Below are 22,118 nucleotides of genomic sequence, written 5' to 3'. Positions count from 1 at the left end.
TCCTGTGCGTCCACATGCACTAACTCATTCTCAGGGCCTTCACTATCCACATCCCCCGCTCAGATGGTTTGCCTTTAGCAACAAAAATTAATCCAAGATTTTGGTCTGTGGATGCCCTTGTTCCCTGGTTTCAGGGCTACTGCATGTTTCCCCTGTAATATTCCTTTCATGTTTGTTTTTCTCTGGTGATACTGGCTGATACCTGGTTGCGGGAGTTGCCTGAGGCTCCTTGGGCTGCCATCTTGCCCGGAAGACTCCAGTGTGCCCCGCACCTCCTATGCTCATCCCTGAGTAGCTAGGTTGGAGTCTGTCTCTCTTACTTATCTGTGAACTCTGTGAGGGTAGGGCGCAGGTCTGATTCATCTCTCCAAGTGAGGCGGTGTTGGCCTCAGTAAGTATGTATGGAATTGAATCAACCCACCTATTTGGCATTGTCCATTCCTGTCTATGGCACAGACTCTCTGAGTGCCTGACACTGATTTACAGCCACGAGCATGGTGTCTGGCACACAGTAGGTGCTCAATACATGTGTGTGGATGGTGCGCCCAGCCACCTGGAGATTTCTATACATGTAAGGGCTCTGCTGTTTTTCCGTTTCTCTCTCTCCTGCCTCTCCCACATCTTCTGGATCACTTTGACATGCCAGAGGGAAGGTACCCCCTCTCTGTCGCCGCCCCCCATCTTCTGTATGTTAGGAGCAAAGCTAGGTTGGCAGTTGATTGAAAAGACACAACTTCCTGTGCTGAGGATATTTGATAGGTTTTAATTGCTCACAATACTAGTTATCATTAGAGACAATTCAAACTATTTCCAGATTAGTTCAAAGCTGCCTTTGAGGTATTTAAGTTGGACAGAAGCCCTCTATGTGTTCAGCTCTAAGCCAAGTTTCCTGGTGTCATTAGAAGCCCACTTGTAGTTGGAGATTACCCAATCTGAATGTTTTGATTGCCTGAATATTTCACTAATTGCAGGGGTGTTTGTCAAAAGTGACTTAATGTCCCCAAAGCTGTCTGGAGACCTGTGTTACAAGTCCCACTCCCAACCTCAGTTAAGCAGAGGGGACCCTGAAGAGGGGATGGGAGGAAGGGAATCTGCATAGGGTCTTTCCTTAGAGCCAGCCCCTCTTGCCAGGCAGGGCCCTGGCCCTCCGTGGCAAGGATGGGGCAGGAAAGGATGACGGCTTGGTCTAGGGTGGGGGCACCAGCAATTGGGAAAAAGGCAGAAACCCAATTCGGAGGGCTGGGCCCTGAGGAGGTGACTGAGAAGGCCTTCAGGACATCTTAGTAATCTTCATCTTTGATTGAAAGATAAAAACAGGGGAGAACCGGTTTTGGCAAATTGGACTTCTAGGAGTTAGTCAGCAACTTGGTCTGACCAACTCTTGGTTGGTCCTGGCCTTGACCCCAGGCCTGGAGGCTTGCAATGGCACTGGGGCCAGGACCACTGCTCCCCAAACACCTCCAGGACCCCCCAGGGTTGGGACTTGCATTAAGCATTTTGCTGCCTCCTGACATAGTGGATTTGGCTGGTGGGCTGCGCTGGGCCACTTTGGTTAGAGGGGTTCTGAGCTAGGGGCAAAGAAGGGTAGGAGGGAGACCCAAATGGGAAGAACAGGTTCTGGAACAGTGGCAAGCTGGGGAAGGGCCCTGCAGGCAGGAGAGCTCTGTCCTTCAGCGGTGACACTGGCCTACTGGGTGAGGAGTGTGGCAGGAACGCTCATGTTGAGGAGGTTTGGCAGGGACCAAGATGGGGGTCCAGTCAAGGTCAAGCTGTCCTGCCCGTGTGCCCTTGGCCATGACTGACTGTGAATGCTGGGTGGTGCCCAGCTGGGTGGTAGGAGCAGGCATGGGTGGTCTGGGGGTTTAGGTTTGGGGATAAGGAAACTGCAGGTGCCTTGGATTTCCAAATGTATCTCGCTGTGGTCAAAGCTCTTGGCTCCTGTGCAAGCTGCCACTGTGTTCTGGGAAGTCGTCAGGCCGCAGGAACAATCTGAAGCAAACGTGTCCTGCCCGCTTTGAATGTGGCCCAACACAAATTTGTAAACTTTCTTAAAACATTATGAGTTTATGAGTTTTTGTTTTTGTTTTTGTTTTTGTTTTTTTTTTAGCCCACCAGCTATCGTTAGTGTTAGTGTATTTTATGCATGGCCCAAGACAATTCTGGTGTCGCCCAGGGAAGCCAAATAATTGGACCCCTGGTCTAAAGTGTTTGAGGTGGGCCAGGCATGGTGGCTCACGCCTGTAATCCCAGCACTTTGGGAGGCCGAGGCGGGTGGATCACAAGGTCAGGAGATCCATCCTGGCTAACACGGTGAAACCTGTCTTTACTAAAAATATGAAAAATTAGCCAGGTGTGGTGGTGTAATCCCAGCTACTCAGGAGGCTGAAGCAGGAGAATCGCTTGAGCCCAGGAGGCAGAGGTTGCAGTGAGCCGAGATCACGCCACTGCACTCCAGCCTGGGCGACAGAGTGAGACTCCATCTCAATAAATAAATAAATAATAAAGTGTTTGGAGTGAACTCACTGCCCACCAAGGGCTTCAGGTCTCAGGAGGCCCGATGGGCCCAGTCTTGGGCTTGTCTTGATGGGCCCAGTCTTGGGCTTGTCTTGATTTGCCCAACTGGCCTGAGGGAGACTAAAGCAGGCAAAGGATCCAGGTGAATATAAGAAGTGAAACAATTTCAAAAAAACAGCAGAAAAGAAACAGCAAAAGGGAACCAGGGAGCTGAGAAAGAATTGGGCTGGTTGAGCTCACAGCCCAGAAATCTCAGTGAGGGGGCGTGGAGGGTAGGGAGCCCCACTCCTTCCTGTTTATTGTCCTGCTTTGCTCCTGCAGGGTTCAGTGCGGTGTGCTTGCTTCAGGGTACACCCAGGAGACGCTAATGGGTGATAATGAGGGTGTCCCGCCCCAATACCTATACTTGTCAATAATTAACCATGATTTCCTAGGTTCTGGGAGGAGGTAGTGGCACCTGGCCTGCCCTGGCTGGTTTAGCTCATGGGGCACCTCTGGCGTAGCCATTCCAAGGTCTCTGTGTGCTTCCAGGCTGTTCTAGGGATGGGTACCTCCCAAGGCATAAGGGAACTTGAGAACTGACCTTTACCCATGTTCCTGATCCTAGCCAGAGACAGACTCCCAGACTCGGCCAGAGGCTGATGCCAACTCCTTCCAGCTCTCACGGTAACCATGAGGCCCCTGCGTGTTTCTGTTGTGGAGGTCCCAGAGGGAACTGTATGGACAGACACAGCCCGAAGGGCCATCTGCCTCAAGCCACAGCAGCACAGAATTCTAAAGATTGTGGGGAAGGATGGGGCCAAGGTGGGCTTGGGCTCCTTGGTGAGAGAGGTGATTTGGGCCCAAGCAGCTAAGCAGGGGTGGAGGTTACTATAAACTTGTTCATCACCAGCCACAGTGCTTTGCCTGCCCTAGAGAGTCAGTGTGACCAAGGCTTCCATGCAGGGGTGTGATGGAACTGGCATTCCAGAGGGGGAAAAAGTCTTGATTTAGCATTTGCCAATTTTGGTGATGTAAATACTTCCACCAAGTCTGATTTCAAGTACCAATTGGTTTAACAATTGACTCACCAAATTCCTGAATATTTAACAAGCAGCTCTTTGTCCACTGCCCACCAGACCCCTGCCCCCGGCGCCTATGCTATACCTCTCTCAGCCCAGCGCTTCACCTCCCTGTCCTTGCAAAATCCCCTTCTCTGGCCGCTGGAAAGCCTGGGACCTGAGGCCATTGAAGCTCCTGTGCTCCAGGGTCCTGGAGCGGAGCTGGTCTTCTTCCCAGGTTGTTATACTCCTCATGGAGGTGATGTGTGTAAAATGCTTTGCCAATGTGAACACCAAACCCACTCAAATGAGGTCCCAAGGGACCACCGATTTCTAGTCTAAGGGCAGTAGGGAGATCGGAATTCAACATCTACCACTATGGTTTGAAAAGCCGGTTCAGGGCATTTGGCAGTCCCAGCTTGTCAGCTGACAAGCCACCTGCCTCGCTCCTCCCTTGGTCGCATGCTAACCTCCTCACTCATTTCCACTTCCAGGGGACCAGATGTGCAGAGGTAATGAATACCAGGGAATCAGGAAACCACTGGATCAGTTCTTTGAGCCACAGAACAACACTCATCCCAGCAGCTGGGAAGCTATCTGCAAAAGTCCATCTGCAGAAAGGGCTTCCTGGTCTTGCGTGTGGCTGGGCCATTTCTCTGGATGCAGGTTTTTCATTATACAGTCTTCTCAAAGAACCACCTGCTCTCAACACCTTCTCGGTGACTCCATTTCCCCTCCTCTGGGCTCCTGGAATGCCACAATGGCCCCACCTTAGCCAGGCAGCTGTGATGAGAGGTGTTGACCCAACTGCCTCTCTGCTGGCTCACTGAATCAGGTGGAAGGGGCTGGGGACAGCACAGTCTTGCATTGTGGTTGGGGACCTGGGCCATCCAGAGGCAGGACTGTCCAAAGGCAGGGTACTGCTGGGATTCCGCCAGGCACTGGGTGATGCATGGCATAGGGAGCTGAAGAGGGACAGGCTCTTGGCCAGGAAAAACAGCCCCAGAGCCACAGGTGTGCCATCGAGTCTTCCTCCTCTCCCATCCTTAATCACTCCTGTTTGGTGACAGCACACAGCTAGGCCTGGAGCCCAGCAAAGAGCCCCTGGGTCCCAGAGGAAGTTGTTCTGGGGGCTGGAGACAATCACAAATGCCAGGTTTGTGAGCCCCAGACTCTGGTTCATAGCAAGAGGCAGACTTGTGAACAAACCACCAGATCACACCGTAAAACACGCTCAACGAGGAGTGGGTGCCCTTTCTAGGGACAGGCAGAAGGCTCCATGGAGTGACCTTTGAATGGGGACATAAAAGTGGATCCCTTCAACAGCCCCTGCACAGCCCCAAGTCAGGCCTCCAGCCCTTGGACTCACAGATGTCCTCTGTAGACGACTGGATGTCCTCCCGTGCTACCCTTTACCCCTGCAGCGAGGGGCACAGAGCCAGAGCCCTCCAGGTCCTCACCACTGGCATCACCAACATAGTGGACATTTTCCCTCTCAGAATGAAAAGGGAGTGAAATTTCCCGTGATCTTTCCACAAATGACCAGCTTGGGGAGTGGGAGAGGAAGTGCTGCAGTGCCTGGGGAAGGGGCCCTGGAACAGTTCCTGGAAATGGAGAGGGGTGGATAGGGTGGAGACAATGCTCATGGAGTGCAGTATGGGGCCTACCCAGAGTTGCTTGGCCACCCCTCTGCCTCTGAATCAGGGGTGATCAATGAAGGAAAATTACTGCAGCAGTTGAGTCCATGTAAGATGATTGTGCACGTGTGTGTGTGTGTGTGTGTGTGTGTGTGTGTCCTCACTCACTTAAAAAAGACCATTTCTGTGCATTCTTTATGCTGGAACCCTCCTCTGCCTCCCTCTCCAGGAAATCCCATAGGATCCCATACCTGCTTTAGAATGTGTGTGAGACACTTCCCAGTGCCTGGCATGTGGTAGGAGCTCAGTACATGTAAACTGTTTTCCTTTGACCACTCAAAGTAGTCACTTGTTGGGGAGGCCAATGGCGGCTTCCCCGGTCTCTGAGCTGATGGGCGTCTGGTCCCTGCCTCCCCTTCCTTCACTGGCTGATGACAAATACCTGAATGTCATCACATCCTCCGTGTCCTCATCTGTTATTCTGGAACACAGGCCAGGGAGGGTACAGGGTAGTCCCCCTTCAACAGAGGCTGGCCTTTCTTGGGATGTGGGCTGGCTGGTGTTGGTCCAAGGATGGATGCAGAGGGTGAGGCACCCATCCTGCTAGTCCGGCCGGATGCTGGCAGGAGGGCGGGGTGAGGAGGGGCGGAGCTTCCAGAACAAAGGAGAATGGGGAGCCCAGGGGCCAGCCTAGGCATCAAAAAGGCTCTGCAGAGTGAACAGGCCACAGCACTGCCTGCCTCTGCCCCAGCAGTCAGCCAGCCGACCGCGCCTGCTCCCTCCTGCTTGCCCAAGGCCGGGCAAGTCATCCCCACTCTGCTTCGAGAGGCCCCGTTTTCCAGCGTGATTGCGCCGACACTGCTCTGTGGGTTTCTCTTCTTGGCGTGGGTTGCTGCTGAGGTTCCAGAGGAGAGCAGCAGGATGGCCGGGAGCGGAGCCAGGAGTGAGGAAGGCCGCCGGCAGCATGCCTTCGTCCCGGAACCTTTTGATGGGGCCAATGTCGTCCCAAACCTCTGGCTGCACAGCTTTGAAGTCATCAATGACCTCAACCATTGGGACCATATCACCAAGCTAAGGTTCCTGAAAGAGTCCCTCAGAGGAGAGGCCCTGGGTGTCTACAATAGGCTCAGTCCCCAGGACCAGGGAGACTATGGGACTGTGAAAGAGGCCCTCCTGAAGGCCTTTGGGGTCCCTGGGGCTGCCCCCAGCCACCTGCCCAAAGAGATCGTCTTTGCCAACAGCATGGGTAAGGGCTACTATCTCAAGGGGAAGATTGGCAAAGTGCCCGTGAGGTTCCTGGTGGACTCTGGGGCCCAGGTCTCTGTGGTCCACCCAAACTTGTGGGAGGAGGTCACTGATGGCGATCTGGACACCCTGCAGCCCTTTGAGAATGTGGTAAAGGTGGCCAATGGTGCTGAAATGAAGATCCTGGGTGTCTGGGATACAGCGGTGTCCCTAGGCAAGCTGAAGCTGAAGGCACAGTTCCTAGTGGCCAATGCGAGTGCCGAGGAAGCCATCATTGGCACTGATGTGCTCCAGGACCACAATGCTATCCTGGACTTTGAGCACCGCACATGCACCCTGAAAGGGAAGAAGTTTCGCCTTCTGCCTGTGGGAGGGTCCCTGGAAGATGAGTTTGACCTGGAGCTCATAGAGGAGGACCCCTCCTCAGAAGAAGGGCGGCAGGAGCTATCCCACTGAGAAGCCACCTTTTCTTTAACCTCCTAAATATTGGTGGGAAGACCCACCGCTGTGGGGGGGGTTGCATATCCTCATGGGGGTCACTGGGCTTGGCCAGTCTGCTTATCAACTCTTGCTCTTCTCTCCCCTTTGCCTCCCTCTGCAGGGGCCTTAATCTGCCCCTGGTAGGGGAGGCTTCCACTGAACAGGCACAGGTGAGGGAGAGCAGGCTGGCTTAGAGGGACAGGGTCCCCATGGTCATCAAGCTGCTGTTGATGACAAAGACTCAAAGGCTGGAAGAGCTCCCAAGGAAGCTAGAAATGCTTGTCTTTGAAAGAACTGTGGGACCCCTTCAGATTCCCTGAGGTATGGCTTGGTCACTCTCAGGTCCTCAAAGCCTGTCTTAGTTGGGCTGGGTCCTAGCTGCAGGGTCTTTGTGAGGGTCACAGTTGCTCTGGGACACCTCCCTGAAGAGCCTTTCCACCTGTACAATCGTATTTTCTTTCTGTCATTTGCTTTGAAGCCCATTGTGCCTTATGCCAATAATTCAATTGCTGCAAACACCAATAAAGATTGATTCATGGAAAAACCATGTAATGTGTTGATTGAGGATGAGAGGAATGTGAGAGGGAGTCAGCATCAAAGACAAGGGAGATTCACATGTCTACTGAGTGCCTAGCTGGAGGTATAAGAACATATACACAGGGATGACAGGTCTTGGATTTTCTAAGACAGTCTCAGCATAAAATATTTTGACTTATTCCCTCCAGAATTGCTCTCATTATTTTGAATCGTCATAATTCCTCTACTTATTTCAATCTGTAGTATTTTAGCATACAAATTGCCTCTATACCCAAAAGTGACCCTAAAGTTTTATGTGAGATGTCTTGATTGGGGATTGGGAAATTATGGTTATGATAAACAAACAGGAAAGTGTCTGCTGGGCAAATAGGTTCTTACAGCTGTCCAGGAGCGAGAACTTGGAGGCAGAAAGCAGGGCCAGGAGACAAGTGTTGACCTGTGTGGGGCAGCCCAAGGGCATGCTGGAGGACGGGGGAGGCTGTGGCAAGGCAGGGTCCCGGCGGTGGGAGGTCAGCTTCTTCTTGGAGGGACTTGGAACAGAGCCTGAAACTAGATGACCTGATGGAGGGGAGGACATTCCCAGATCTGGGAATGGGGTGTGCATCTCTTTTAGGGGTCCATCTCGTATTTGCTTCCAAATTTCTGTTTCTTTTTCTGGAGTGCAGCAGGGCTGGGAATCTGAAACTCAAAGGGAGGAGCTGAGTGGACAAAAGTCTCCACAGAAGAGCCAGTTTGTTCCAAATCTCAGGCCTCCCCACCAAGCACATCGGGCGAGCCTGTTCTCAGGGGAGGGTGGCCTGCACCCTCCAAACTTTGGGCCCAGGAAGATTGGCGCAAGGTCAGAGACTCGAACGTGCAGGGATCCCAGACCTCTTGATGGAGGCATGAAGGACCATTTTCCATCCTCCAGGGTGGAATGAGCCTCTTGAAGTTCCCACCTGGACAGCTCCTGAGGGAGAGACAGAAGGCAGGAGTGAAGCCCCTGGACTTTTTGAAGCTGATCTGAGCCAGGATCAGCTGCCCGTCCCTGGCCCCTTCTTCCCTCCGATTCCAGCTGTGATTCTCCTGGGAACTGAGGCATGGCTCAGCCCCTAATCCTCGGGGTTTACCGAGGCCCCTTCCCTGGGCAGCCAAGCATCTTAACTGAAATTAGCTCCATCAGCCCCAGGGCACCTGGAGGAAGGACAGGTGTGGGATCAGGAGGAAATCTATTTCCAGAAAAGTGATGCCTAGAGAAGTGGGTGGGAGAACTGGAGAAGGGGGTGAGAGAACTGGAGAAGGCGATGGGGGAACTGGAGAAAGGGTGGTCTCCGGATGACTCCCAGATCCTGCATCCCCCTTCTCAAATTTGATTTTCAGCCCCACTCTCTGTGGCCTAACGCATGCTGCTCTCTCATGGGCCGAGCCCTCTCCCGAGGGAACAATCCAGGTGGCACCTCCCTGTGACTTATTTTCCTCCAGGTCCTTTGGATCCCAGCCACGTGCTGGGTAGAAGGAGGGAGGGTAAAGAGTCTGTAAGTGGGTGGGTGGGGAGCTGGGGAGGGGACTAAGGAATTGGTGGCCAGGCCAGAATTCCAGAGCAATACCCCAGCCTCCCTGCCCTTTCCCACACACCACACGGAGTGGAGCCCTGTCCTGGGTGATTGCAAATGGGATGCTGTGTCCCAGCAGCAGACACCTTCTTCCCCTGCTCTGAGTGAGGAGAGCCTGTCTGAGCCCCCAGGTCTCCAGCTCTCAGCCAGTTTTCTCTCCTAGAGAAATGTGGGCCCCCCGAGAGGGCACAGTGAGGGGTGGGGTCTGTGACATCTGAAGCATGGCCCCCATGGAGGAAGGGACCATGTGGTGCTTCTTACTGGGAGACCCGAGTGAGGCTGAGACCGCTGCTGCATGCGGGTGAGAGTGATCACAGCTGCAGATGCGTCAACGTGGAACCCAGCTGCAGGACTATGAGCAGCTGCTCTCTGGGAAGTCAGGTATCAAACAACAGAGAAGCCCGGGAGAGAAGCCAGAAAAAGTGGGTTGTGGCCACACCACAGAGGGCTTGCTGTCTGGGTGAGGAGTTCACACCTGCCTCCCACAGTGGGCGTTTGAACCATGGGAGAGCAGGAAGATTCATCTGCCTTCTGGGTATAGGATGGAGTAAAGCAGCAGCAAAGGCTCTGCTGGGACACCATGGCAGTCCTTATACCTAAGGTCTGCTTTTGCAATGATGGAAAGGAGGATGCAGGATCAGTGTGAAGGTTTAGCCTTTGGAGCACATGATAATCACCAGAGAAGACCCATGAACATCAGTTCCTCCAGTGGTCCCAAAGTGCAGCAGGCTTGGGAACCCATGGTCTAAATTCCAGTGGCATCTACCCCTGTACTGCCCAAAGGGTGATCCATGAACCAGCAGGAAGGCGGCATCAGCATCACCTGCGAGCCTGTTGGGAATACAGACTCTCCATCCCCACCCAGACCAGCGCCAGAATCTGCAGTGAGCAAGATCCCCAAGTGATTCTAGGGGACATAAGAGTTTGAAAAGCCCTGGCCTAGAACATTCTAATACCTCTAGTTAAGGGGGCCCTACAAGCTGCCTTCTTCTCTAATAATGACCACCACAAACTGAATGCATGCCAGTTCCCCAGACCATACTAGATAATTCTTTATGCTTTTATCCAGAAAATCTTTAAGTCTTAATTTGAGACTAACAGGAAAGTTGCAAGAGCAGTACAAAGAATTTCCACGTTTCACCCAGTTTCCCCAAATATTAGCATTTTTCCAATTAACTTCATCATCTCTCTCATTCTCATTCCTTTTCTCCTATCTATATATATAGGAACCTTTGAAAATCGCAAATATGATGCACTTTTATCTCTAAATACTTCAGTGTATATTTCCTAGGGGAAAACAACAACAACAACAAGGGCATTCTCTTATATAACCATGATGCAGTTATCAAAATCAGGAAGTTCACTGATGTAATACCACTATCATCTGATCTTCAGATCTTACTCCAATGGTTCCAATTATCCCAACAAGAACATTGTTGGCCCCCAGATTATTTTCTAGTCCAGGACTGAATTCAGCTACATATTGCATTTAGTTGCCGTGTCTCTTTCATCTCCTTTAATCTGAGTAATTCCTCTGTCTTTGTTTTCATGACCCTGATAGTTTTGAGGACGCCTGGCCAGTTATTCTGTAGAATGTTCCTCAGTTTGGCTGAATCTGATGTTCAGTTGTGGTGAGATTCGGGCTGTGGGTTTCGGGCAGGAATACCCAGAAGTGATGGTGCATCCTCAGTACATCGTATCAGGAGGCATATGTTGCCGACTTGTTTCATCACTTGGTCAAAATGCTGTTTGCCAGGTTTTTACTCCATAAATAACTATTTTACCCCCGTCATGAGTAAGTGTCTTGTGGGGAGACACTCTGAAGCCATATAAATATCTTGTTTCTCATAAGACTGTCACCACTAGCCTCAGCACCCATTGGTGATCTTTGTCTGAATTGTCACTGTGATATTACCAAATTACCAAATGATGGTGATTTTCTAATCTCCTTCTTCTTCTTCTCCTCCTCCTCCTTCTCCTCCTCCTCCTCCCCTCCTCCTCTGCTTTCTTCTTCTTCTTCCTCTTTTCTTCTTCTTCTTCTTCTTCTTCTTCCTCTTCTCCTTCTCCTTCTTCTTTCTTCTTTCTTCTTCACAGGGTCTTGCTTTTTTGCCCTAGCTGGTCTCAAACTCCTGGGCTCAAGTGATCCTCCTGACTCAGCCTCCAAAGTAGCTGGGCTTACAGGACTAATTCTATCCTTCTATACCTATTAGCTGGCCCTCAACTCTACAGAAGAGCTTTCTCTACTCATTTATTGGTTGATTTATACCATGTGGACTTAGAGATTCTTATTTTTCTATGAGTTATACTCATTTACAATCATTATTTATTTTGATGCTCAAATTGTTTTAGATTTGGCCATGGGGACAGCTTCAAACTGGCTCCTGTCTCCTTGGGACGTGTCCCCATCATCATAAGAGCCCTTCCTTATTTTCTGGCACAAGATGTTCCAGGCTCATCTTGTCCCTTCCCTGTACCAGCCCTGGGATCAGCCATTTCTCCAGGAGCTCTGGTTCCTTTGAGTGGGGTCTGATATTCAGAAACAAGGATCTGGGTGTCAGGTGTGTGTGCTTCTTGCTACTGGCATGCCATCACTCCTAGGACCTCTCAGTGGTCAGAGCTAAGAAGAAAACCATAGAGTCCACTTCTCTATATTTCTCTCTCTCCCTCTCTCTATTATGAGTTCCTGCTGATACTTCCAATTCCAACCCCACACTCTAGGACTTAGTCTAACCTTCCCCTTTATTTATTATTTCTCATGTCACACAGCTACTGTGCCGATGTTGTAGCAAGGTGCGAGGTGGCACATCACACACGCTCCTGCAAACATCCAATCATCACGCTTACAAGCTACAAAAGGATCGTAACCTTCCCCTTGAGATTTGTGACTTCTTTCTCTAATAATGAGAAACCTGGCTCCAGGTTACTTATTTGCCCAGTTCTAAAATACCCAGAAAGTTGTTTCCGAATTGCTAACCCATGCACCTATGGAAGAGAAGCTTAGGAGCGCCCACTCATTCAGATCTCCCACCCAGTGCCAGGTGTGGGTGGCCATTGGCAGCAAATGAGAAAGACAAATGAGGAAGCCGAGCGCAGCTGCTGGCGGGAGAGTGGAGGTCTCCCAGGTGTGCAGGGAGTGCCTCGAGGGCCAGTGTCAAGGTGTGTCCTTATCTGAGGACACGATGTGTCCATCAAGAGGGCAGCTGGAGTCATAGACTGAAGGCCATGAGTCCTGCCCTTGTGGCCATGCGAGGGAAGGGCCAGCCTCCACGCTCCAGGGAGGTGACCTGGTCTGCCCACCTGGTCCTCTACACTGAGGAGATACTGGGGCAGCTGTCAGACATGACGCCACCCCACGTTCCAGGCCCATCAGTCACTGCTCCTGTATTGAGTCCACCGTTGCCAAGTAACCTCGGGTAAGGAAGCCTCTTGGCTGGGTAGCAAGAAAAGCTGTTATGCTTTTCACTGTGGGCTAATCAATTGGCTCTCAAGTTTTGACTGCTTGATATTGTGGGTCAGTAACCCCCAAGCCTGGAGAACTGTGTAACTCTGAGCTGGACTGTGGTGACTTCTCCAAGGCACATGTGGTGCTCTTCCTGTCTCTAGGAGTTCCTAGCAGAGCCTCTCCCTGCACTAGGAAGGACGTGAAGGGAGCCCTGTCCTCTAGGACAGTCTGGGAGAGGGAGGCAGGCAGGGCTTAGAGTGACCCTGTGCTGTGACCTCCTCCCCACTCCTGTGCTGGGTGGGACATTGTGCAGTCAGGGACAGCTCCCTAGAGATCTTTAAGTTGAGTCTTTAAAGATGAATGAATGGATGTTTCCCGGGAATATTTGGGGTGGAGGGAGGAAAGGGAAGAAAACAGGGAGGCAAGGACAAGCCTGCTGGTGTTGGCTAACAGAGACAGGAGGAGAAGACGGGGGCCAGCATGGATCCTCTCATATGGACTTTGAGGAAACTCCAGGAGACCAGGGAAGGAGATGCTGCTTTTATTTCAGCTCTAAAATGCACTCAATTCAAAAGTGTGTTTTAAGTTTATTAATATTCTTGGAGGAAACAACCACCACCTCTGCGATGCAAATGTATCTGCCAATGGTATATCTGGATCTAAGAAGCAGTAAAATGGGGAAATGGGGGTAAAATAGAGAAACTACTTGCCTTCTTAAGGACCAGCTCAGACCCATGTGGCTGCCTAGTGGGCAGTGCTGCAAAGGATTCTGGGACTGTATTCAGACACAGCCAGCAAGATGCCATGATTGATTAGTGATGTCTGGCCTGGAAGCAGGAGTGGAAGCTGAGCCCCTGCTTCTTCTGTGGTGGGCCATGAGGAGCCTTCATTCTCAGACAATGGAGAGCCAGGGCAGGGTTGGAGGCAGGGAAGTGACTTGATGGCATCTGCATCATGAGATGCATCTGAACCTCAGTTTACAAACTCATAGATGCTGATGTGAGAGATGTCATTTAAGAAAGTTTTCCATAATTAAAGTGAATTGGCCAGGCATGATGGCTCATGCCTGTAATCCCAACACTTTGGGAGGCAGAGGCAGGCAGATAACCTGAGGTCAGGAGTTCGAGACCAGCCTGGCCAACATGGTGAAACCTGTCTCTACTAAAAATACAAAAAAAAAAAAAAAATTAGCCGGGCATGGTGGCGTGTGCCTGTAATCCCAGCTACTTGGGAGGCTGAGGCAGGAGAATTGCTTGAACCTGGGAGGTGGAGGTTGCAGTGAGCCAAGATGGTGCCACTGCACTTCAGGCTGGGCAACAGAGTGAGACTTGCTCTCAAAAAAGAAAGAAAAAAAAGAAAAAAAAAGAAAATTAAGTCCAACTCTGAGTCCCCATTCAGCCAGGCATTTGAGAAATTCATTCTCAGTCACTTTGGTGAGCTCTTTTTACCCTGGATTGGGGGAAAGGTCCCAGAAACTTATGCAGCAGTGAAGCATTGGAGAAAGAGGACCCTGCAGGTCGTAACTGCCCAGTCGCAGTCACACTGTGTCCATGGAAATGCCCAGCGTCCCTGCACATGTGAGCCCTTCCGGCCACAAAGTTGTGCTGCTTTCTGTGCCATGCACGGGCACAAGGAGGCCCCGTCTTATGTCCTCCCTCTCTAGGGACGCCAGGCACCCACCCCATGTGCTGTCCCGCCACTTGCTTGGAGTGAGGCTGCTGAGAGGTGTGTGGGTGCCAGTTATCCCCAGGACTGACCACTGTCCATCCCCTGTCAAACCAGATCTGCCCTCTGCATATTCCCTTACTCTTCCTGAGACCACCCACAACTCCCTGTCCAGAGCACTGGGTCATACACTGATCCATGGTTTAGGCAGGTACAGAAGATGGGGAAGAAAAGTGTCTTGGGTCTTACACGCAACAGTGGCTTTTGGCCCAGTAAAATGAAAGTCCTGGCTACTTGCCTGAGCTGGGAGAAACAGGAGAAAATCAAAGAGCAAAAGCAGACCTTCATGTTTTCATGTCTCACCCCGCTGTGCAGCCCCTGGAGGGAGGCAGGGCAGAAGGCCTGATGGAGGGAGGTTGCCCTGGGGGTTCTGTGCTGCCCTGGTACGGGCTGAAGGGCTAAGCCAGCTAGTAAGAAAGGGGAACTGATTCCAAAGGTAACATGGAGGACGAACCAACAGGACTTAGGGGCATTTGTTATGGAGGTGAGAGAGGGACAGGTCTAAGGCAGTATTGGCAATGTCTGGGGACATTTTTGGTTGTCACATCTTCCAGGGGATAGGGGATGGGGGGGACTATTGGCATCTAGTGAGTAAAGGTCAGAGGCTGCAAAACATCCTGCAATGCACCAAACAACCCACACAATAAAGAACTATCCAGCCCCAGATGAGGTAACTCACAGCTTGCTTATGTGGCAATCTCTTTTCTCTTTTCATTTCCTTTTCTCCTTTTCTTTTTCTTTTCTTTTCTTCCCTTCCCTTTTCTTTTTTCTTTTCTTTTCTTCCTTTCCCTTCCCTTTTCTTTTCTTTTCCTTTCTTTTTCTTTTTCTTTTCTTACAGGATCTTGCTGTGTCGTGCCAGGCTGGAGTGCAGTGTCACGATCACAGCTCATTGTGGCCTAGACCTCCCAGGCTCAAGCAATCCCCTCATCTCAGCCTCCTGGTAGCTGGGACTATAGATGTGGGCCACCATGCCTAATTTTTGTATTTTTTGTAGAGACGGGGTTTTGCCATATTGCTCAAAATCCTGGGCTCAAGCAATTCTCCCGCCCAAAGTGTTGGGATTACAGGAGTGAGCCACTGCACCCGGCCAGGCAATTTCTTTCTAATTCTCACAAAACATCTACAAAGTAGGTTTTATACCCATTTAGTAGATGGGGGAATTGAGATTGGGAGAGGTTAATTTGCCCAGTGTTGTGTAAATGGTAAGTGGCTGAACTGAGATTGGAATTTAAGCCGGCTTGACTTTGGAGCACTCAATTTAGTTAGCTGGAACAGTTTGGTCAAACAAAGATTTTATTAAAATGAATTTAGGTTGTTTTAATCTATTATAAACAGAGCAAGGCAAGTGGGTGAAAATGAATTTGAAAAGCTGAAGTAACCAACAACTAGGTCTTTGTTAGCTAAGCAGTGTATAAGTTATTAACAAAACTCAAAAACAGTTAACTGTGGTTGGAAATATTCATTCTAAAAATCAATTTATGAAAATAAAAAACTCACCAAAAAAATCATCAAGTAAGTAGAGGAGACATAATTGGCTGAAAATAAACTAGGAGAGAAAAAACCCCTAAAACCCCCCTAAAACTCCAAATCCTCTTTTTTGATTGTTCATTTTTATTGCTTTGTTTATTCTTTCATGGTTCAAATTCCTTTAGTATTTTTTTTAATTGCAAAAGCAATGAGTGAGGCTTGCGGGAAAAGCAGAAACGTTGGTCAGTCTATATCTAGAGCTACATATCATATCTATCTATCTATATATATGTTTATATATAGATATATATATGATATGTATGTGTATATATATGATATGAGTGTGTGTGTATAGATCTATATATATAAATATACATATAGATATACACACACACACACACACACACACACACACACACACACTCACTTTTTTTTTTTTTTTTTTTGAGATGGAGTCTTGCTCTGTTGCCCAGGCTGGAGTGCAGTGGCGTGATCTCGGCTCACTGCAAGCTCCGCCTCCCGGGTTCAAGTGATTCTCCTGTCTCAGCCTCCCAAGTAGCTGGGACTACAGGCACCTGCCACCATGCCCAGCTAATTTTTGTATTTTTAGTAGAGACGGGGTTTCACCAAGTTGGCCAGGATGGTCTCGATCTCTTGACCTCGCGATCTGCCTGCCTCAGCCTCCCAAAGTGCTGGGATTACAGGCATGAGCCACTGCGCCTGGGCCACACACTCGCATATTTTATATACATATATAAGAACCTTGAACCCACTTACCCTGCTTAGGTCAAACACGGTGTATTTTTCCAGACCTTTCTCTATATACACTCATATGAATGTATTTTCTTTCATTCTTTCTCTTTCACTCTCTCGTTCTTGCCTTTTCTTTCTTTCCTTTTAACAAAAATAGGATTACATGGTAATTTCTGTTTTGTAAACTTTCATACTTTACTAAACCAATCCCCTATTTTATTTTTTATTATTTATTTATTTATTTATTTATTTATTTATTTATTTATTTATTTTTGAGACAGAGTCCCACTCTGTTGCCCATGCTGGAGTGCAGTGATGTGATCTCAGCTCACTGCAAACTCCACCTCCTGGATTCAAGTGATTCTCCAGCCTCAGCCTCCAGAATAGCTGGGACTACAGGCGCCAGCCACCATGCCTGGCTAATTTTTGTGTGTTTAGTAGAGGCGAGGTTTTCACCATGTTGGCCAGGCTGGTCTGGAACCCCTGACCTCAAGTGATCCACCCGCCTTGGCCTCCCAAAGTGCTGAGATTACAGGGGTGAGCCACTGCGCCCAGCCTCCCCTATTTTTTAACATTTAGATTGTTTCCAACATTTTGCTGTTATAAACCTCACAGTATGGTAATGAAAAGGAATGTACTGCAACCACACAAGAAAAACGAACGTCACAGTGTTGAATGAAAGAAGTCAGACACAAAACATACACAATATGATTTCATTTGTGTAGTATTCTCAAACAGATTGTCAAACCTAAAGCCCAGGCTTAGAGATGCATTCTTAGGAGGCAAGAGGACAAAGGCAAAAAGGACACGGTTACCCCAGCAGCAGGGTGGCTGTGTCCTTCAGGGCTAAAAAGGGTGCTGTGTTGGGAAGGACACTCAGGTGTACCTGGGGGCCAGTGATGTCCTGGCTCTTCACCAGTTGTGTTTTTTTGGGTGCTTACTTTATAATAACTATTAAACAGCACCTTTATGTTTTATGCACTTTTACATCTATATGTGCTGGCCGGGTGTAGTGGCTCATGCCTGTAATCCTAGCACTTTGGGAGGCTGAGGCAGGTGGATCACCTGAGGTCAGGAGTTCGAGACCAGCCTGGCCAATATAGTGAAACCCCATCCCTACTAAAAATACAAAAATTAGCTTGGTACGGTGGCAGACGCCTGTAATCCCAGCTACTCGGGAGGCTGAGGCAAGAGAATCGCTTGAACCCGGGAGGCGGAGGTTGCAGTGAGCTGAGATCGTGCCATTGCACTCCAGCCTGGACGAAAGAGTGAGACTCTGTCTCAAGAAACAAACAAACAAATACATATGCATGTGCCAAATCATGATAAAAAACATTAAAAATGAACAGAATGAAAATAGTTAACTAAAAAATTAACTAGAAATTTAAAGCCCAGGGTAAAACTAAATATGCCGAAATGTAAGCAAAATACTTGAAAAGGCACAAAACGATGCAATTCACCTTCATGCTGCATTAAAATTCTAATTTTTGAAAAATAATGTGGAGTATACTTTTAGACCAAATTGTCCTTTGGGCTGAATTGTTTCCTCTGCAGCTTGTTCTCAACCAAATTGTTTTCTGTCCAATTGCTTTTGTTTTTGAACCAGTCACCTGGATTTTTCCAAAACCCGGGTATTTTCTGTGGCCCTCACTGTACTGTACAATTCCGATGGTGATCAAGGCCAGTGATTAGTAAAAACCTCACTGGCTGTGTTTCATCACCTCTGCTTGGGGCCATATGATACTGGAGACTCTTGTCCTGCCTTAGCTCTGAGCCTAAAGTTCTCCTCTGTCTCTCTTAAAAAGTGTTAATTCGTTCGTTCATTCGTTCATTCATTCATTCATTCATTCATTCATTCATTCGCCCATCCATCCCCAAGTGGCCATCGCTGAGCACACACAGGCATGGTCCTGGGCATTGGGTCAGAGCCGCAGGGGGCCTGCAGGGTCTGCTCCGGCAGAGGTCCGTGTGAACATCAAGCAGGTAAAATACAAGGTGTCATGTGGTGATAAGAGAAAGTGAAATGCATCACTGCGCGGACAGCGGATAGAAAGTGACCAGGGAGCTGCGATTTTATACAGGTGGAGTCGGGGGTCCTCAAGGACACGGGGACGTTTGCACTGAGACCTGAGTGAAGCGCAGTCCGCCGCGAGGTGCCGGGGGGAGCGGCCAGGCAGGCTCCCCAAGTGGGGGCCCCCAGGTGTCCAGGGAAGAGTGAGGAGAGGGGTGGGGTGTAGACAGGGCCTGATCAGGTGGGGACCCGCCGCGGGGGAGGCCTGAGTGCTGTCAGCCGGACGGCATTCGCGGGAGGGCAGGATTTACAGGGGAGGCGGGGGGCGTGGGCAGAGCGGGAGACAGGGAGAGGACCTCGGAGGCTTCCGTGGGGTCCGGTGGCCCCGGAGGCAGGGCAGCCCCCTCCCTCGGGGCCTCTTCCTGAGACCAAAGGGCTCCACTCTGTAGGAGCAGCCAGCCCCCTTTCCTCCAGGGCGAGCTGCGGTATTCAGCACCGCCCTCCGTGGCTGCAAGCCTTCCCAGCCAGCCCGGAGCCTCCACTGATCCCTCCTAAAGGCATCTGGTCCAAGCTGCCCCCACTGCGGCCTGTCAAGCACTTTTGGATCCTGGTTCTGTCAGGCCCTCAGTGCCATCTGGCAACCACGGGGTCATCCCTAGATGTAGAGAATGTGCCATCCATACCCGACTGCAAATGGATGTATTGACGTTGAGTGGAACAGGCTGAGGACAGTGTCCCCTTCATGCCGCTGGACAGCTTCCTGCCGTGACCTGTCTCTGCTAATCAAACCTTGGTGGGGCCGAGGATGGTGTAATAAAATACTGAAATTTGCAAGCGATTAATTTTGATTGTTTGTTTGAGACAGGGTCTCACTCTGTGGCCCGGGCTGGAGTGCGGTGGTGCAATCGTGACTCACTGCAGCCTCCACCTCCCTGGGCTCAAGCAATTCTCCTGCCTCAGCCTCCCAGGTAGCTGGGACCACAGGCACAGGCCACTACCTCGGCTAATTTTTTTTTTTTTTTGAGAGACGGGGTCTCCCTCTGTCTCTCTGGCTTACTCCTAAAAAATCTGTAACATCCGATTCAAAGCTAGTTCCATAGAACCACTATTCTCATTTACTTGCAATCCAACGAACTTTCTCCAGTTGAGGAGAAAGGGTGGCATTCCTTCCTGTTTCTGGCAGGGGAATCAGACCCAGGTCAGCACTGCCACTGCCTCTGGCCTCTGCGGATATCCCCAAAGGAGCCCCAGTTCTTCTAGACAGGAGGGATTATTTCCAGCCCTGGGGCACCACCCTCCTAGTCCTTGGCAAGTTTGTTTCCATAACCAAACAAACAAACAAAAAAACCAAAAACCCCTCACATTCACCTTCCCTCTCCACACCCTTGACCCCAATAACCTCACTCCTGCTTAGTCAACCTCACTTCCGTCTGCTTGCAAAAGCATTTTTTATTTTACACTGTGATTCCGCATGGCAGTATCCTCTTGTTCTCTACAAAGGTGGATCGGAAGTAACTTCCAAAATTACAAATACTAAAATAGGAAAGATGTTGAGTAAAAGCCAAGGCCAGAGAAGAGACTAAGGGGAAACTGGGTCACAAACATGCACATTACAGGTTCTCACAAAATTACTAAAGGTGAAGTGTGAATTTGGCTCTGAGTTTCCTGACAGCCAAAGGGAGAAGAGAAAGATGATCTGTTGCATGATTCACTGTTTCCCTGAGGTAAACACACCTGTTTTTCAGGGGAAAGCAATGGGATTGCTGCAATGAGTTCCAAAAGAATACTTTTCCCTAACATTATAAAGTGTGGTGACAAGAAAGCAGGGCCAGGTTCCATCCTGATTATCTCTTTACTCTTCCACTGATACCTCTTCTGGGCCACACACTGTTCCATGCCCTGTGCTAGTCTGCATTGACTGGTAGCTTCTTTGACCAAAGTTATTAACTGCAAAGTAGCCAAGAATCATCACAACCTCTGCAGTTGCTCAGAGGTCATACTTGAAGTGTGGAGTTGTCCCCGTCTGGGTAGAGCTCTACCTACGGTTGTTCTGAATTTGCAGTGCAAAGGTACGTGTGAATGCGGGAACTGAAGTCATTTGGCCTCTTCTGATGAGATACTTGCAACATATGGGCATTTTAGCAAGGGCTTCCCTCTGTCTCTCTCTCTGAGCCACCTCTGTATGATCTGGTCTCTCTATGAGAGGAACTGCCCTGTAGGGCTGGCGGGGTCTTAGGGTCGTTTTGACCTTCCGAACAGCACATAGGTGAGATACTACCTGGAAAATAGCCACCCCTCCACTGTCAATGCCCACATTCTGTCCCTGAGTCACCCTCTGCTCCCCCTTTCGGTTTAACCACTTCCTGCCTACTGTTTGTTGTCTAAACAGCACAGTCAGAATGACATATTTGAACACTTCCCCACCCTCTAATGTAATTTTCCCTTCCAAGCTTATTTCTTCTCTGAGTGTTGGAATTTTGTATTCTGAAAATCCAAGTCACATGCCAGACAGTGTTCGAACGTTCTCTCCTTGGCTGGGAAAATGATTATAATTGCTCATATGTACTGAATGCTTTCTGCATGTCAGGCATGGGGAAAAGCTGTTTGCATACTTTACCTTACTTAATCCCCCTAGCAGCCCTGGGAAGTACATGCTGTTATTATCCTCACTCTACAGACCGGGTCAGCAGAGTCCCAGATACTTGCCTGGGGTCACCGAGGGTGTTAAGGGTGGAGTTGGCATCGACCCTTAGCTCCATTTGACCAGAGTCTGTGCACGTGACCATCACCCAGGACCACCTTCCGGGGTACCTAGGGGACATGGGCACTCCCCCTGAGTTTCTATTTCCACTTGGCCAGCCTATTGGTCTCTGTTGGTCATTACTGGCTCGAATGCTTCACAGCAATGGTTTTTTCCGCCTTCTGGGGGATGACAGTATCAGCGTGGCAAGGCGAGTGTGTTGGATGTTCTGCTTGTAACTAAACAGATACTGGTTCTCCCACGCCCACTGGTCCCTGTGCATGGCTGGGGGCTATCTCCAGGTGTCACCCAGCCCGGCTGTCTGGCTGGCCAATGGTGTTGGTTGGCCAGTGCCTTTCTCTCTTTCCCCTATCCCTAAGGCCCTCCCAGGTGCCTTCTCCTCCAGGATGGCTGCTTTCTTTGAAGGCAGACGTATTTCTGACACAGAGCTCCCTGCGTTGACTGTCTTCCTCACCTCTGCCCCCAGGCAAGGCCAAGAGCATCCTAGAAAAGCCCCTGCCCTTTTCTCCAGGGCCTGAGTGGGCCTCTCTAGCTCCAATACCCCCAGTCCACCCGCTCAGACCTGGCCTCAGGTGCATGCCCTTGGCCTCCGTCCTGGCTCTTCCTGTGGTCATCCCTTTGGATAAGATGGTTCGCCTGTCCCATTACATCCCTAGCCTGCCTTCACCAGACACGCTGCCTTCACCCACAGCCGGGGAGGCTCCCGGAAGCTTCAGCCAGTTAGAGCCTGCCCTGCCGTCTGCCTGAAAGTGGGTTAGTCACTCTGTCCCAACACAAAGCTTCCCTTTCCTCTGGGCAACATGTTCAACCCAGCCAGCAGCCAGCAGCCACATCTACCTCATCTAGTCTCCACAAGGACACTCGCAGAGGCAATGACTCCAGAATTCTGCATGGAACAGAGTGGGCAGGGAGCT

General features: G+C 50.1%; 1 protein-coding gene, 1 long non-coding RNA gene and 1 other non-coding gene across 13 annotated transcripts in view, besides 2 other annotated features; 2 read left to right on the top strand and 1 right to left on the bottom strand.

Annotated features, from left to right (window-relative positions):
• Positions 1-5,286, top strand: part of PCBP1-AS1 (PCBP1 antisense RNA 1) — a 125,946-nt gene extending 120,660 nt beyond the window's left edge. The window contains exons 10-11 of the long non-coding RNA NR_033872.1: positions 3,122-3,318; positions 4,049-5,286. This is a non-coding gene — a long non-coding RNA (PCBP1 antisense RNA 1). The remainder of the gene's footprint in view (positions 1-3,121; positions 3,319-4,048) is intronic.
• The window catches only part of ASPRV1 (aspartic peptidase retroviral like 1), a 154,659-nt gene that overhangs the window by 119,827 nt on the left and 12,714 nt on the right, over positions 1-22,118 (top strand). For 8 of the 11 annotated variants that reach the window (NR_170631.1, NR_170632.1, NR_170634.1 and 5 more), the window contains one exon: positions 4,049-7,460. The exons of 2 other annotated variants lie outside the window; for them this stretch is intronic. Coding sequence is in view for 1 of the 9 variants with exons in the window: in NM_152792.4 (NP_690005.3) it covers positions 6,113-6,892 (780 nt within the window). In the remaining 8 variants the exon portion in view is untranslated. Of the gene's footprint in view, positions 1-4,048; positions 7,461-22,118 lie in introns of those variants that run through there. One more of the 11 variants, NM_152792.4, reaches the window with a different exon arrangement.
• Positions 5,738-6,032: a silencer, noted in NCBI's record as "tiled region #1834; HepG2 Repressive non-DNase unmatched - State 22:ReprW". NCBI's record gives its function as "represses a minimal TATA promoter and a strong SV40 promoter by Sharpr-MPRA in HepG2 cells {active_cell/tissue: HepG2}" and the evidence as "EXISTENCE:reporter gene assay evidence [ECO:0000049][PMID:27701403]".
• On the bottom strand, positions 11,802-11,904 carry LOC124906177 (small nucleolar RNA U13). The gene has a single exon (XR_007088762.1). It is a non-coding gene; the product is annotated as a small nucleolar RNA U13 (small nucleolar RNA).
• Positions 19,867-21,066: an enhancer, noted in NCBI's record as "P300/CBP strongly-dependent group 1 enhancer chr2:70173615-70174814 (GRCh37/hg19 assembly coordinates)". NCBI's record gives its function as "activates an origin of replication core promoter dependent on BRD2, BRD4, P300/CBP, MED14 and CDK7 cofactors, with strong dependence on P300/CBP, by STARR-seq in HCT116 cells {active_cell/tissue: HCT116}" and the evidence as "EXISTENCE:reporter gene assay evidence [ECO:0000049][PMID:35650434]".

The sequence above is a fragment of the Homo sapiens genome, chromosome 2 (assembly GCF_000001405.40).
Source record: "Homo sapiens chromosome 2, GRCh38.p14 Primary Assembly".
NCBI classification, from domain to species: domain Eukaryota; kingdom Metazoa; phylum Chordata; class Mammalia; order Primates; family Hominidae; genus Homo; species Homo sapiens.
Note: the sequence above shows the minus strand (reverse complement) of the source record. Positions and strands in the feature narration are given on the sequence as shown.